The 13,253-nt window shown below is 42.2% G+C and overlaps 1 protein-coding gene across 12 annotated transcripts in view; it reads right to left on the reverse strand.

Annotated features, from left to right (window-relative positions):
* Positions 1-13,253, reverse strand: part of NUP98 (nucleoporin 98 and 96 precursor) — a 122,545-nt gene that overhangs the window by 86,648 nt on the left and 22,644 nt on the right. For 11 of the 12 annotated variants that reach the window (NR_157591.1, NR_157590.2, NR_157589.2 and 8 more), the window contains exons 6-9: positions 11,975-12,082; positions 10,091-10,271; positions 6,924-7,087; positions 1,245-1,382 (exon numbers count right to left, since the gene is read on the reverse strand). Coding sequence is in view for 9 of the 12 variants with exons in the window: in NM_001365127.2 (NP_001352056.1) it covers positions 1,245-1,382; positions 6,924-7,087; positions 10,091-10,271; positions 11,975-12,082 (591 nt within the window). In the remaining 3 variants the exon portion in view is untranslated. The remainder of the gene's footprint in view (positions 1-1,244; positions 1,383-6,923; positions 7,088-10,090; positions 10,272-11,974; positions 12,083-13,253) is intronic. The other variant, NM_001365128.2, reaches the window with a different exon arrangement.

Consider the following 13,253-nt stretch of genomic DNA (forward strand, 5'->3'; position numbering starts at 1 on the left):
CTGAGGCAGAGAACTGCTTGAACCCGGGAGGCAGAGGTTGCAGTGAGCCGAGATCGCACGCCACTGTACTCCAGCCTGGGCAACAGGCGAGACTCCGTCTCAAAAAAACAAAACAAAACAAAACAAAAAACAAAACAAAAGCCTGGCATGGTGTCACACGCCTGTAATCCCAGCTACTTGGGAGGCTGAGGCACGAGAATCGCTTGAGCCTGGGAGGGAGAGGTTGCAGTGAGCCGAGATCATGCCACTGCAGTACAGCCTGGACAACAGAACGAGACTCGGTTTCAAAAACAACAACAACAACAACAACAACAACAGAAGTACTAGAATGTCTTGAAGCATTATATAATTTTCTCAATTTCTTACCTCAATTATCTGTCCAAAGTTTAAAAAAAGAAAAGAGAAATTTCAATCTCCATGAAAACAGGACCATATGTTTTAGGGACTTTGTGTTCCTTTTTTATTTTTTAAGACAGAGTTTTGCTCTTGTTGCCCAGGCTAGAGTGCAATAGCGCGATCTCGGGTCACTGCAACCTCCACTTCCTGGGTTCAAGTGATTCTCTTGCCTCAGCATCTCAAGTAGCTGGTATTACAGGCACCCACCACCACACCCAGCTAGTGGTTTTTTTTTTTTTTGTATTTTTAGGAGAGACGGGGTTTCACCATGTTGGCCAGATTGGTCTCGAATTCCTGACCTCAGGTGATCCACCCACCTCGGCCTCCCAGAGTGCTGGGATTACAGGCGTGAGCCACCGCGCCTGGCTCTTTTTTAATTTTTTTAACCTACTCACAATAGCAAGTTCAAAGTTTCTTCCATGAGTACCTCAACAATTTCAACAATTTGATCAACCCCAAAAACATTTCATTCCCAAACATCATACCAATTTATCACCTACAAAAGAGGGAAGAACTAGGAGTTAAAAATTATCTGATTCAAATAAAGCAAAAGAATTTCAATTTAGACTCAACAATTTAACCAATGCTATCAGAAGTATGATGCACATAAGCACTGAGGCAAAGAAATTTTAAAAGGGAAAGAATTTACTAATTGAAAACAAACCTGAAGTTAACCTGAAATTTCATTTTATATCAAATAATTTTTTGTTCTCAGAATCAAATCATATTAGGCTGGTGCAATAATACACCCAATAAAAATACCTGCAAAACAGTCAAATCCTTAGAAGAAAATTCCTTTTAACAAATTTACACACATCTTCAAATTACAGTCAACTGCAGAAACCTACCGAACCAACAGCACCAAATCCAGTATTGGTCTGCCCAAAGAGACCTGTTCCTGTTCCAAATGCTGTCCCAGTGCTGGTGTTTGTAGCTGTCCCAAAAAGACCTCCAGGCTGTGAGGCTTGGGTTACTCCAAATAATCCCTGCAAAGAAGTTTATATAGATTAAAAGATATCCTGTAATAGTTTCCGTAACGAATCTCAGAGTAATAAAAAAAAAGTTACCATTTTTTCAAGCTTATATGACAGATATTAGGCTAAATAACTTATATAGATTATTTCCTTCAAAACAACCCTGAAAAGCAGGGAGTATATTTTTCAAAAAGCTCAGAGCATTTTAAAACTTGCCCAAGGTGCCACAGCTCCTGAATGGTAGGAACAGAAGTTCAAACCTATATTTAAGCCCCTGTTCTTCCCAGGATGATGAACTCCAAGGTCTTAGGCGTCTATTAAATAATAAGACTTTAACTCTTGTGCTCTAAGAGATGTCAGGGTTGCAACACTGAGAAGCAAAATAGTATGTCTAGGTCCTTCATTTTCAACGATTTAGGTGAAAAGAACTAATCAGTATCAAGCTGGGGAGTGAACTTAGAATCAAGTAACCAAAAATAATCAGCGAAAATAAATCAACACGGACCGAGGTACGAGTGTTATGTTAAAGAGCCTTAATTCCTTTTTTTGATACGGAGTTTCGTTCTGTTGCCCAGGCTGAAGTACAGTGGCACAATCTCGGCTCACTGCAGCCTCTGTTCAAGTGATTCTCTCGCCTCAGCCTCCCAAGTAGCTGGGACTACAAGGGCACGCCACCAGGCCTGGCTAATTTTTGCATTTTTAGTAGAGATGGGGTTTCACAATGTGCCCAGGCTGGTCACGAACTCCTGACCTCAGGGGATCCACCTGCCTCAGCCTCCCAAAATGCTGGCGTGAGCCACTGCACCCAGCCAAAAGCCTTAATTCTAAATGAGAAACTATACTCATTTCCAATGAGCAGTCTGCATCATCCTATGTTTAACAATGTATTTTACTTATGCATTAATAAAGGAAAAATATTGTGCTAATAGACTTGCTGAATAGGGAATTCACTTTTTAAAGTTTTATTGAGACACAATTCAAACATCATAAAATTCACTCATTTACAGTGGACTATTCCGTGATGTTCTGCAACCATCCCTACTATCTAAATTCTTACACCCCCCAAAGAAATCCCAGACCCATCAGTGATTACTCCCCATCCCTAGGGAACCATTCATCTTTTTCTATGGATTTTTTTTTTATTCTGAACATTTAATGTGAATGGAGTCATAAAAAATGTGGTCTTTGGTGACGGGCTTCTTTCAGTTAGCACATTTTCAAGGTTCATCTGTGTTGTAGCATATATTAGTACTTCATTCCAATTTATGGTTGAACAATATTCCATTGTATGCATATACCACAATTGGTTACCCATTCATTGTTAATAGATCTTTAGGTTATTTCTACATTTTAGTCATTATGAATAATGCTGTTATGTTCACTTGTGTACAAGTCTATGTCTTATTTTTCTTCGGTAAATCCCAAGATGTGCAATTGCTGGGTCATATCGTAACTCTGTTTAACATTTTGAGGAACCACCAAACTGTTTTCTAAAGGGGCTGTACCAGCAATGTATGAGGGTTCCAACTTCTCCAGGTTCAATACTTACTACTGTATTTTTTTGTTGTTTTTGTTGAGTCTCACACTGTCACCCAGGCTGGAGTGCAGTAGCACAATCTCGGCTCACCACAACCTCCGCCTCCCGGGTTCAAGAGATTCTCCTGCCTCAGCCCCCTGAGTAGCTGGAACTACAGGTGGGCACCACCATGCCCGGCTAATTTTTTGTATTTTTAGTAGAGACGGGGTTTCACCATGTTGTCCAGGCTAATCTCGAACTCCTGACCTCGTGATCTGCCTGCCTCGGCTTCCCAAAGTGCTGGGATTAAAGGCGTGAGCCACCGCGCCCAGCCTGTTAGTCTTTTTTTATTGTATCTTTCAAATAGGTATAAAGTGGTTATCTCATTTTGGTTTTCATTTGCCTTTCCCTGATGACTTATGATGTTAAGCATATTATCACACCACTTACATATCTTCTCTGGAGAAATGTCAATTCAAATCCTTGGCCCTTTTTAAATGAGTTATTGTCTTACTACTGAATTATAAGAGTTATTTATACATCCTGGATACAAGTCCTATATCACATGTATGATTTTCAAGTATTTTCTTCCACTTACAGGTCTTTTCACTTTGATGATATCCCTTTGATATATAAATGTTTTTCTGCCATCTTTGTTTGTTTAGAGATAGGGTCTCATTATGTCGCTCAGGCTAGAGTGCAGTGGCCTATTCATAGCCACGATCATAGTGCACCACAGCTTCTAACTCATGACCTCAATGATTCCCCGACCTCAGCCTCCTGAGTAGCTGGGATGACAAGCATGTACTAAAAGGCCTGGCTAAAAGGTTTTAATTTTGAAAAAGCCCAACTTATCTATTTTTTCTTTTCTGCTTTTGCTTTTGGTGTCCTATCTAAGATATTACTGTCTAACTAGGTTTCTTCTAACAGTTTTATAATTTTAGGTCTTGCACTTAGAAATCTGATCAATTTGTGGCCAGGCATAGTGGCTCACACCTGTAATCCCAGCACTTTGAGAGGCTGAGGCAGTCGGATCATTTGAGGTCAGGTGTTCAAGATCAGCCTGCCTAACATGGTGAAACCCTGTCTCCACTAAAATATAAAAAAATTAGCCGGGCACGGTGGCGCACACCTGTAATCCCAGTTACTCAGGAGACCAAGGCAGGAGAATCGCTTGAACCCAGGAGGCAGAGGTTGCAGTGAGCCAAGATCGTGCCACTGCACTCCAGCCTGGGCAATTAGAACAAGACTCTGTCTCAAAAAAAAAAAAAAAAAAATTGATCAATTTTAACTTTTGCAGTTAAAAAATGCTGTGAAGAATCCAACCTCATTATTTTGCATGTGAATAACCAGTTGTCCCAGCACCATATGTTGAAAAGACTATTCTTTCCTCACTGAATTGTTTTGGTATCCTTGTTGAAAATCAATTGTCTACAAATGTGAGGGTTTATTTCTGGACTCTCACTTCTATTCAATTGGTCTATGTCTCTCCTTGTGCCAGTAACACAATTACTATTGCTTTATAGTAAGTTTTAAAATTGAGAAGTAAAGCCAGGTACAGCTGCTCACACCTGTAATCTCAGCACTTTGGGAGTCCAAGGAGAGCAGATTGTTCGAGCCCAGAAGCTCGAGACCAGCCTGGATAACTCGATGAAAACCCATCTCTACAAAAACTACAAAAATTAGCTGGACATGGTGGTGCACGCCTGTAGTCCCAGCTACTTGGGAGGTGAGGTGAGAGGATCGCTTAGCCCAGGAGGCGGAGGACGCAGTGAACTGAGATCATGCCACTGCACTCCAGCCTGGGTGACTGCAGCGAGGCCTGTCTCAAAAAAATTAATAAAATAAAATTGAGAAACATGAAGGCCAGGCGCAGTGGCTCATGCCTGTAAACCCAGCACTTTGTGAGGCAGAGGTGGGTGGATCACCTGAGGTCAGGAGTTTGAGACCAGCCTGACCAACATAGTGAAACCCCGGCTCTACTAAAAATACAAAATTAGCTGGGTATGGTGGTGCATGCCTGCAATCCCAGCTATGTGGGAGGCTAACGCCGGAGAATCCCTTGAACCCAGGAGGCAGAGGCTGCAGTGAGCTGAGATCGTGCCATTACACTCCAGCCTGGGCGACAACAGTGAAACTCCGTCTCAAAAAAAAAAAAAAAAAAAAAGAGAGAAGCCTGAGGGTCCTCCAACTTGTTGTTTTTCAAGATTGTTTTGGCTATTCCGGGTTCCTTCTTATTCTTTCTTCAGTGTTTTTATCATGAAAAAGTGTCAAATGTTTTTTCTGTATTTACAAAGGTGATCATGTGGTTTTCTGTTGTTTAAATTATATTACCACAGTGTATTACAATGATTAATGATCATATGTTGAACCAACCTTCCTCGGATAAATCCCACTTAGTCATGGATTATGATCCTTTTTTGTTTGTTTGTTTGTTTTGAGACAGAGTCCCGCTCTGTCACCTAGGCTGGAGTGCAGTGGCAAAATCTCGGCTCACCGCAACTTCTGCCTCCTGGGTTTAAGCAATTCTCCTGCCTCAGCCTCCTGCGTAGCTTGGATTAGTCACCCGCCACCCAGCCCAGCTAATTTTTGTATTTTTGGTAGAGACGGGGTTTCACCATGTTTGCCAGGCTGGTCTCGAACTCCTGACCTCATGATCCGCCCACCTCAGCCTCCCAAAGTGCTGGGATTACAGGCAGGAGCCAGCATGCCCGGCTGATCCTTTTCATATGTTACTGAAATCAGTCATCTAGTATTTTGAAGACATGGCGGTACAAGCATACTTTTTTTTTTATTTTTTTTGGGATGAAGTCTCTCTTCGTCGCCCAGGTTGGAGTGCCATGGAGCAATCTCAGCTCACTGCAACCTCTGCCTCCCCCTGGGTTCAAGGCTATTCTTGTGCCTCAGCCTCCCAAGTAGTCAGGATTACAGGCACCAACCACTGTGCCTGGCTAAGTTTTGTATTTTTAGCAGAGACGGGGTTTCACCATGTTGGCCAGGCTAGTCTCAAACTCCTGATCTCACACCTTGGCCTCCCAAAGTGCTGGGATTACAGGCATAAGCTACTGTGCCCAGCCCATACTTGTTTTTTAATCAGTAAAAGTATCTCTAATTTTAAGACGAGGTAAATTCCAAGTCCTGATCAATTACTCATACATCACTTCCTTCTTTAATTTCATACTTCCCTAAAAAATGTCCCTAGAAATAAACTAGTAATGACCATGAGGACCTTTTCTTTGGACACAGTATGGCTCTAAGTCGTAGGTCTCCCTTTAAAAAAAAAAAACAAAAAAACTTCTTTGTATGATTCCCAAGGGAACTAGGTGAACGTTCCCTTAGTTCCTGTTGTTGGCTATATTCTGAAATATAGTCAGTAATGAATAAGTATTTTCTCCTATACCCTATAGAATGGCTGTAGTCAATTTTCCAAGGTATAGCTTTAAGAGGGCCAAGTCCAGCCCACTAAGTAGTTCCTACTTAGTAATGAGAAAAATACTTTCAGAAAGGATAAGTGATCGCCTCAATAGCATCTCAACAAGTAAAGAGTAGAGCCCAGGCTAGAATCTAGGTCTTAATTATTCTAAGACTTTGTTCTTGGCCGGGCACGGTGGCTCATGCCTATAATCCCAGCACTTTGGGAGGCCGAGGTGGGCGGATCACGAGGTCAGGAGATCGAGACCATCCTGGCAAACACGGTGAAACCCCATCTGTACTAAAAACACAAAAAATTAGCTGGACATGGTGGTGGACACCTGTAGTCCCAGCTACTCGGGAGGCTGAGGCAGGAGAATGGCATGAACCTGGGAGGCGGAGCTTGCAGTGAGCTGAGACTGGGCCACTGCACTACAGCCTGGGTGACAGAGCGAGACTCCATCTCAAAAAAAAAAAAAAAAACTTTGTTCTCTTCCCTTCATTAAATACCCTCAACTCTTAAGATTTGCAGTACAGGTAGAATTTGCTAGTTTGACATGATTAGAATCCTCATTACTTAACTCTAAAAATAAGACATGGAGGTAAGTAAGGGTCTGTTTCCTTACCATGGTGTTGGTGCTTGGCTGTCCTATGGTGCTGGTATTACCAAAGGAAAAGCCAGTGTTCTGGGTGGTTGTAGCCTGGCCAAATGGTTTGCTGAAGAGGCTGGTAGTCTGCTGATTCTGTTGGCCAAAGAGACCACCTGGATTTGTTCCAAATCCAGTTGTACCTTTTAGGAAAAAGAAAAAAAAAAGAAAAAAGAAATAATAAAAAAAATGTAAACACCCAAAAATACAAAACCTTCCATTATCCAGTTGTTGTAATAGTCTTTATGTTATCTACTACCCTTCATTCACTACTTGATCATCTTTTCGTTTTCCATCCTTCACTTAACTCTAGATTTAAACTTTAACTTCTGTAATAACATCCTTACCCCAAGAAGCTTAACTAGGCTAAATGATCTTCCCTTGTAAGTCCACAGCTTCCTTCTGTTTTACAAGATAATACACTAGAAGTCAGCATGTGTATTTTAACCTTGCTAGTCTAGGTTAATGAGAACAAAGGCTTCTTCTTTACATGAATATATCCAGCCCAGAGTCTGATATGTAATATTCAATAATGAATATGGGCCAGGCACAGTGGCTCACACCTGTAATAACAACATTTTGGGAGGCCAAGGCAGGAGGATCACTTGAGGACAGGAGTTCCTGAACAGCCTAGGCAACACAATGGGACCCCATCTCTACAAAAAAATTTTAAAAATTAGTCAGGCTAATGGCACTTGCCTGTGGTCTTAGCTACTTGGGAGACCGAGGTGGGTATATGGCTTGAGCCTGGGAGTTTGAGGCAGCGGGGAGCTGTGATGGAGCCACTGCACGACAGCCTGGGTGACAGAGCTAGACAGTGTCCTCCAACCCCCACCAAAAAAACAGAAAAAATTATGAAACATTAGCCAGGCAGAATGGTGGGAATATTACTTGGGCCCAAGAGTTCAAGGCTGCAGTGAGCTATGATTGCTCCACTGCACTCCAGCCTGGTCAACAAAGTGGGATTCTGTCTCAAAAAAAAAAAAAAAAAAAAAAGCATACTAAACTAAATCATGGAATATCAAGATTGAAAAGTACGTTAGGCTGGACATGGTGGTTCACACTGGGAGGCTGAGACGGGTGATCACCTGAGATCAGGAGTTCGAGACCAGCATGGCCAATATGGTGAAACCCCGTCCCTGCTAAAAATTAGGGCTGGACGGCCAGCCATGGTGGCTCATGCCTGTAATCCCAGCACTTTGAGAGGCCGAGGCGGGTGGATCATAAGGTCTGGAGTTCAGATCAGCCTGGCCAAGACGGTAAAACCCCATCTGTACTAAAAATACAAAAAAATCAGCCAGGCATGGTGGTGGGCATCTGTAATCCCAGCTACTTCAGATGCTGAGGCAGAGAATCGCTTGAACCCAGGAGGTGGAGGATGCAGTGAGCCGAGATCACACCACTGCACTCCAGCCTGGGTGACAGAGCGAAACTCCATCTCAAAAAAAAAAAAAACAATTAGGGCTGGCACCATGGCTCACGCCTATAATCCCAGCGCTTTGGGAGGCCGAGGCTGGTTAATCGCCTGAGGTCAGGGGTTCGAGACCAGCCTGGCCAACATGGTGAAACCCCAACTCTATTAAAAATATAAAAAATTGGCCAGGCATGGTGGCGGGTGCCTGTAATCCCAACTCCTTGGGAGGCTGAGGCAGAAGAATCGCTTGAACCTGGGAATTGGAGGTTGCACTGCACTCCAGCTTGGGCAACAGTGAGACTCCGTCTCAAAAAAATAAAATAAAATTAGTCGGGTGTGGTGGCACATGCCTGTAGGGTGGCTGAGGTAGGAGAATCACCTGAGCCCAGGAAATCAGGGCTGTAGTGAGCCCTGATCACATCACTGCACTCCAGCATGAGTGACGGGAGTAAGACCCTAAAACCCTGTCTCAAGAAAAGAAAAGAAAAGAAAAGAAAAAGTAGGTTAAATATAACTTAGATAAATACGTATTTGTGTGTGTGTGTGTGTGTGTGTGTGTATGTACATCTCTTTAGAAGGCTATGAAAAGCTATAATTTTTGCTTTTCTCTACAGAGGCAAACTGGTGGCTGGGGAAAGTGTATAAGGCAAGTATATAACCTCTGGTTATTTAGTTTTCTGTATTTTGTGAACTTTGTATCACATATGTGCATTACTTTTGCAAAAGTAGTATTTTTGTCAAGTAATCATCATCTTTAACTCCTCTTTCACATCCCACATTAAACCAATGCATCGGCAAATTCCATCAGTTCTATAATCAAACTGGGTCCAGAACCTCATCTTTTTTCTTTTCCGTCCTTTTTATTTAGAGATGGAGTCTTGCTGTCACCCAGGCTGGAGTGCAATGGTGTGATCTCAGATCACTGCAACCTCTGCCTCCCAGGTTCAAGCGATTCTCCTGCCTCAGCCTCCCAAGTAGTTGGGATTACAGGTGCTTGTCACCACGCCTGGCTAATTTTCATATTTTTAGTAGAGGCAGGGTTTTACCATGTTGGCCAGGCTAGTCTTGAACTCCTGACCTCAAGCAACCCACCTGCCTTGGCCTCCCAAAGTGCTAGGACTGCAGGCGTGAGCCACCACACTTGGCCTCTTTTCCATCCTTGTCCAAGACACTAACACCTCTTATGTTGATAATAGCTTTCTAAGTAATTTGTTTCTACTCTTACAATCTACTGTCAATATAGGAGACTTCAGAATCATCCTTCACTCACAATCACATGACTTCTCTTTCAAAACAACTTTCAGGATTTCCTAAATCAAATAAAAATTCAAGTCTTGATATTGGCCTACAAAGTCGTATAAAATATGGCCCCTATATCCCCCAGTATTTTCCCTTGCCCTCTCTTCAAATGGCAAAAACTCAGAGTTTTTAGACTCAGTTTCCACTAGCTGGAATGTTCTTCCCCCAGAAATCTGTACAACTTGCTCCTTCATCTTCTTCAGATACGTCACTGCTCAAACATCACCTTCTCCTCTGAAGCATTCCTTAGTCGTCTTCATCTTAAACTGTCTTTCTCCCTTTCCCCACATACATCCAGGCATTCCTCCCTATTCCTATGGTATCCCTGAATTATTATTTTTCTCCATAGCACTTATCCCAAAATGGCAATTATGTTTTAGTTTTAGTTATCTGTCTCTCCTCAGTATAATCTAACATGATATCAAGTGCTTACTAGTTCCAAAGGCAGTTTTGTTCTGACCATATGCAAAGCCTGAATTAGTGGTGGAGGAGCTGAAGAGTCCTGTTGCGCTGGAAGTGGCTGGAGAAGACCCAAACAAGCCAGTTGTGGTACCTGCTCCCACCTGGTTCTGTGGGCCCTTCCTGTTAGCCTGATAATCCTCTAAACGAAGTTCCTGAAGGGAGGGAAAACATATTTCTAATCTTAACATGCAGCTAAAAATAATTATTTAGGAGGCTAAATACTTGAATTTAGTATTCAAGTTCTATGTTCACATAGGAACCATAACTAAAAAAGAGAAAACTAAGGAATGACATTATATCATTACAGAAAAACATTTCCAATAGACACTAAAATCCATACCATAATTATCATAAAACTACAAGCCAAAGAGTCAATATCTTAATCTCAGTTTTCTTTCACAAACAATACACTCTTTTGGTAAAATGTCATAAAATAATCCTAACTCTCCCCAGCCCTAAAATATAAAAATAAAATAAAAATAAAAATTATAGTGAATTAACATATGTAGATTCTGTGGGGCAAAAAATTTAGAAAATAAAGTTTATCAATTTTGTCTCAAGTCCGGATGTTCCTGGCACAGCCCAATAAAGTAAGCATAGTTTGGTATGTAGAAAGAAGCAATCACTATAATCATGAATGACTATCAAAATGTACAACAACCTACTACATAAGCAATAAGAATGAACAAACTAACTTCATGCAACAACATGGATGACTATCTCAATGTTCAAAGACAGCCATTAAAAAGTACATAATGTGCCTGGGTGCTGCAGCTCATGCCTGTAATCCCAGCACTTTGGGAGGCTGAGGTGGACGGATCACAAGGCCAGGGTTCAAGAACAGCCCGGCCAACGTAGCAAAATCCCATCTCTACTAAAAATACAAAAATTAGCTGGGCATAGTGGCGTGCAGCTGCAATCCCAGCTACTCAGGAGGCTGAGGCAGGAGACTGCTTAAATCCAGGAGGCAGAGATTGTAGTGAGCTGAGATCACGCCACTGCACTCCAGCCTAGGCAACAGAGCAAGACTCGTCTCAAAAAAAAAAAAAAAATTAGCTGTGTGTGGTGGCCCACACCTGTAATCCAAGCTACTAGGGAGGCTGAGGCACGAGAATTGCTTGAACCTAGGAGGTGGAGGTTGTAGTGAGCCAAGATGTGCCACTGCACACCAGACTGGGTGACGGAGTGAGATGCTGTCTCAAAAACAAACAAACAAAAAAAACAAAAAAAAACCAACTTTTATTAAGCTGTACTTTGCATAATTTTACTAAAAACACCTTCATATGCATGCATACACATTGCCCAGTGTAACAGAAGCAACATCCAATCAGAACAGATGATTAGACTGGGCTCAGTGGCTCATGCCTGTTATCCCAGCACATTGGGAGGCTGAGGAAGAAAAATCGCTTGAGCTCAGGAGTCTGAGACCGGCCTGAGCAACATAGTGAGACCTCACCTCTACAAAAAAATTTTTAAAAATTAGCTGGGCGTGGGGCACATGCCAGTGGTCCCACCTACTTCGGAGGCTAAGGACATGAAGCCTGGGAAGCTGAGACTGCAGTGAGCTGTGATTGTGTCACTGCATTCCAGCCTGGGCAAAAAAGCCCATCTCAAAAAAAAAAAAAGACCATTAGGGGTGCTAGACCTTCACATACCCCTGAATATTATCCCTGCCTAAACAAGTAGATATCTATAAATAATACTTGATTTTTAAAAATAATTTGGTTAATGTTAATTTTTTACATAAACCCAAACTGAACCACTCTATCCTAAAGAAAATCAAAACCATTTTTAAAAGCTGCATTCCAATAAAATCAAAAGGTTAGACTGACATTCTGTATTGTATTTTACTGACCTCTAGTGACTTGCTTTCATATTCTTTCATAGCAGTAATACACTGGTGCTTGGTACTTATGTTAGTGCTAACTCCAGCTTTGACCATAGTATCTGTACCAGTTGGAGGCTGCAAAGTTAAATAAAGGCAAATTTGTAGGTCCAAGTTTTACATTCCTACTCTCTCAGATACAATTTCTCAACCACTGAACTCTAAAACTAGTCCCCCCAGGTCTTTTATACTGAGATGGTTTCAAGGGTGCTTGATTAAATATACTGCCATTTCTGATCTCTCCCTACATCAAGGTTATCTGAATAAATCGATCTTAGTAACAAAGTAATCACAAACGCAGGGATTAATCCCATAACCCAAGCCATCCAATTACATGGTAAAATACATGTAATATTATGCATAAAGAAAGCTTTACCCAATATATACCTTTAAACCTCTATATCTAAGTTCTCCTTTCTACTCCGCCCTGTAATGCTGCATTAAAAAAATACGGAGGGCCAGGAGCGGTGGCTCACGCCTGTAATCCTAGCACTCTGGGAGGCCGAGGCGGGTGGATCATGAGGTCAGGAGTTCGAGACCAGCCTGGCTAATATGGTGAAACCCCGTCTCTACTAAAAAATAAAAAAATAAAAAATAAAAATGAGCCAGGCGTGGTAGCGTGCACCTGTAGTCCCAGCTACTCAGGAGGCTGAGGCAGGAGAATCGCTTGAATCCGAGAAGCGGAGGTTGCAGTGAGCCAAGACCGTGCCACTGCACTCTGGCCTGGGCGACAGAGTGAGACTCCATCTCAAAAAACAGCAACAACAAAAAAACAGAAACTGGCCAGGCGCAGTGGCTCACACCTGCAGTCCCAGCACTTTGGGAGGCCGAGGCGGGTGGATCACTTGAGGTCAGGAGTTGAAGACCAGCCTGGCCAACATGGTGAAACCCCATCTCTACTAAAAATACAAAAATTAGCTTGGGTGGGTGCCTGTAATCCCAGCTACTTGGGAGGCTGAGGCAGCAGAATCGCTTGAACCAGGAGGCAGAGGTTGCAGTGAGCCAAGATTGCACCACTGCGCTCCCGTCTGGCTGACTCTGTCTCCAAAAAAAAAAAAGAAATATGGAAACCTGTTTTTCCCCGATAACATTACAAGGAAAAAGGCACAATAAGTAAAACTAACGATTCCTGCTGGTATTGCCAGTTTTCTCAACTACTGCACTTTCCAAAGGGCATCACACAGTATTCTTCACTATCATTTTATGTTTTAACTTCAAATTCGGGGTTGTAAATTTAGTACTATGAATT

Source organism: Homo sapiens, chromosome 11 (assembly GCF_000001405.40).
Source record: "Homo sapiens chromosome 11, GRCh38.p14 Primary Assembly".
Classification (NCBI taxonomy): domain Eukaryota; kingdom Metazoa; phylum Chordata; class Mammalia; order Primates; family Hominidae; genus Homo; species Homo sapiens.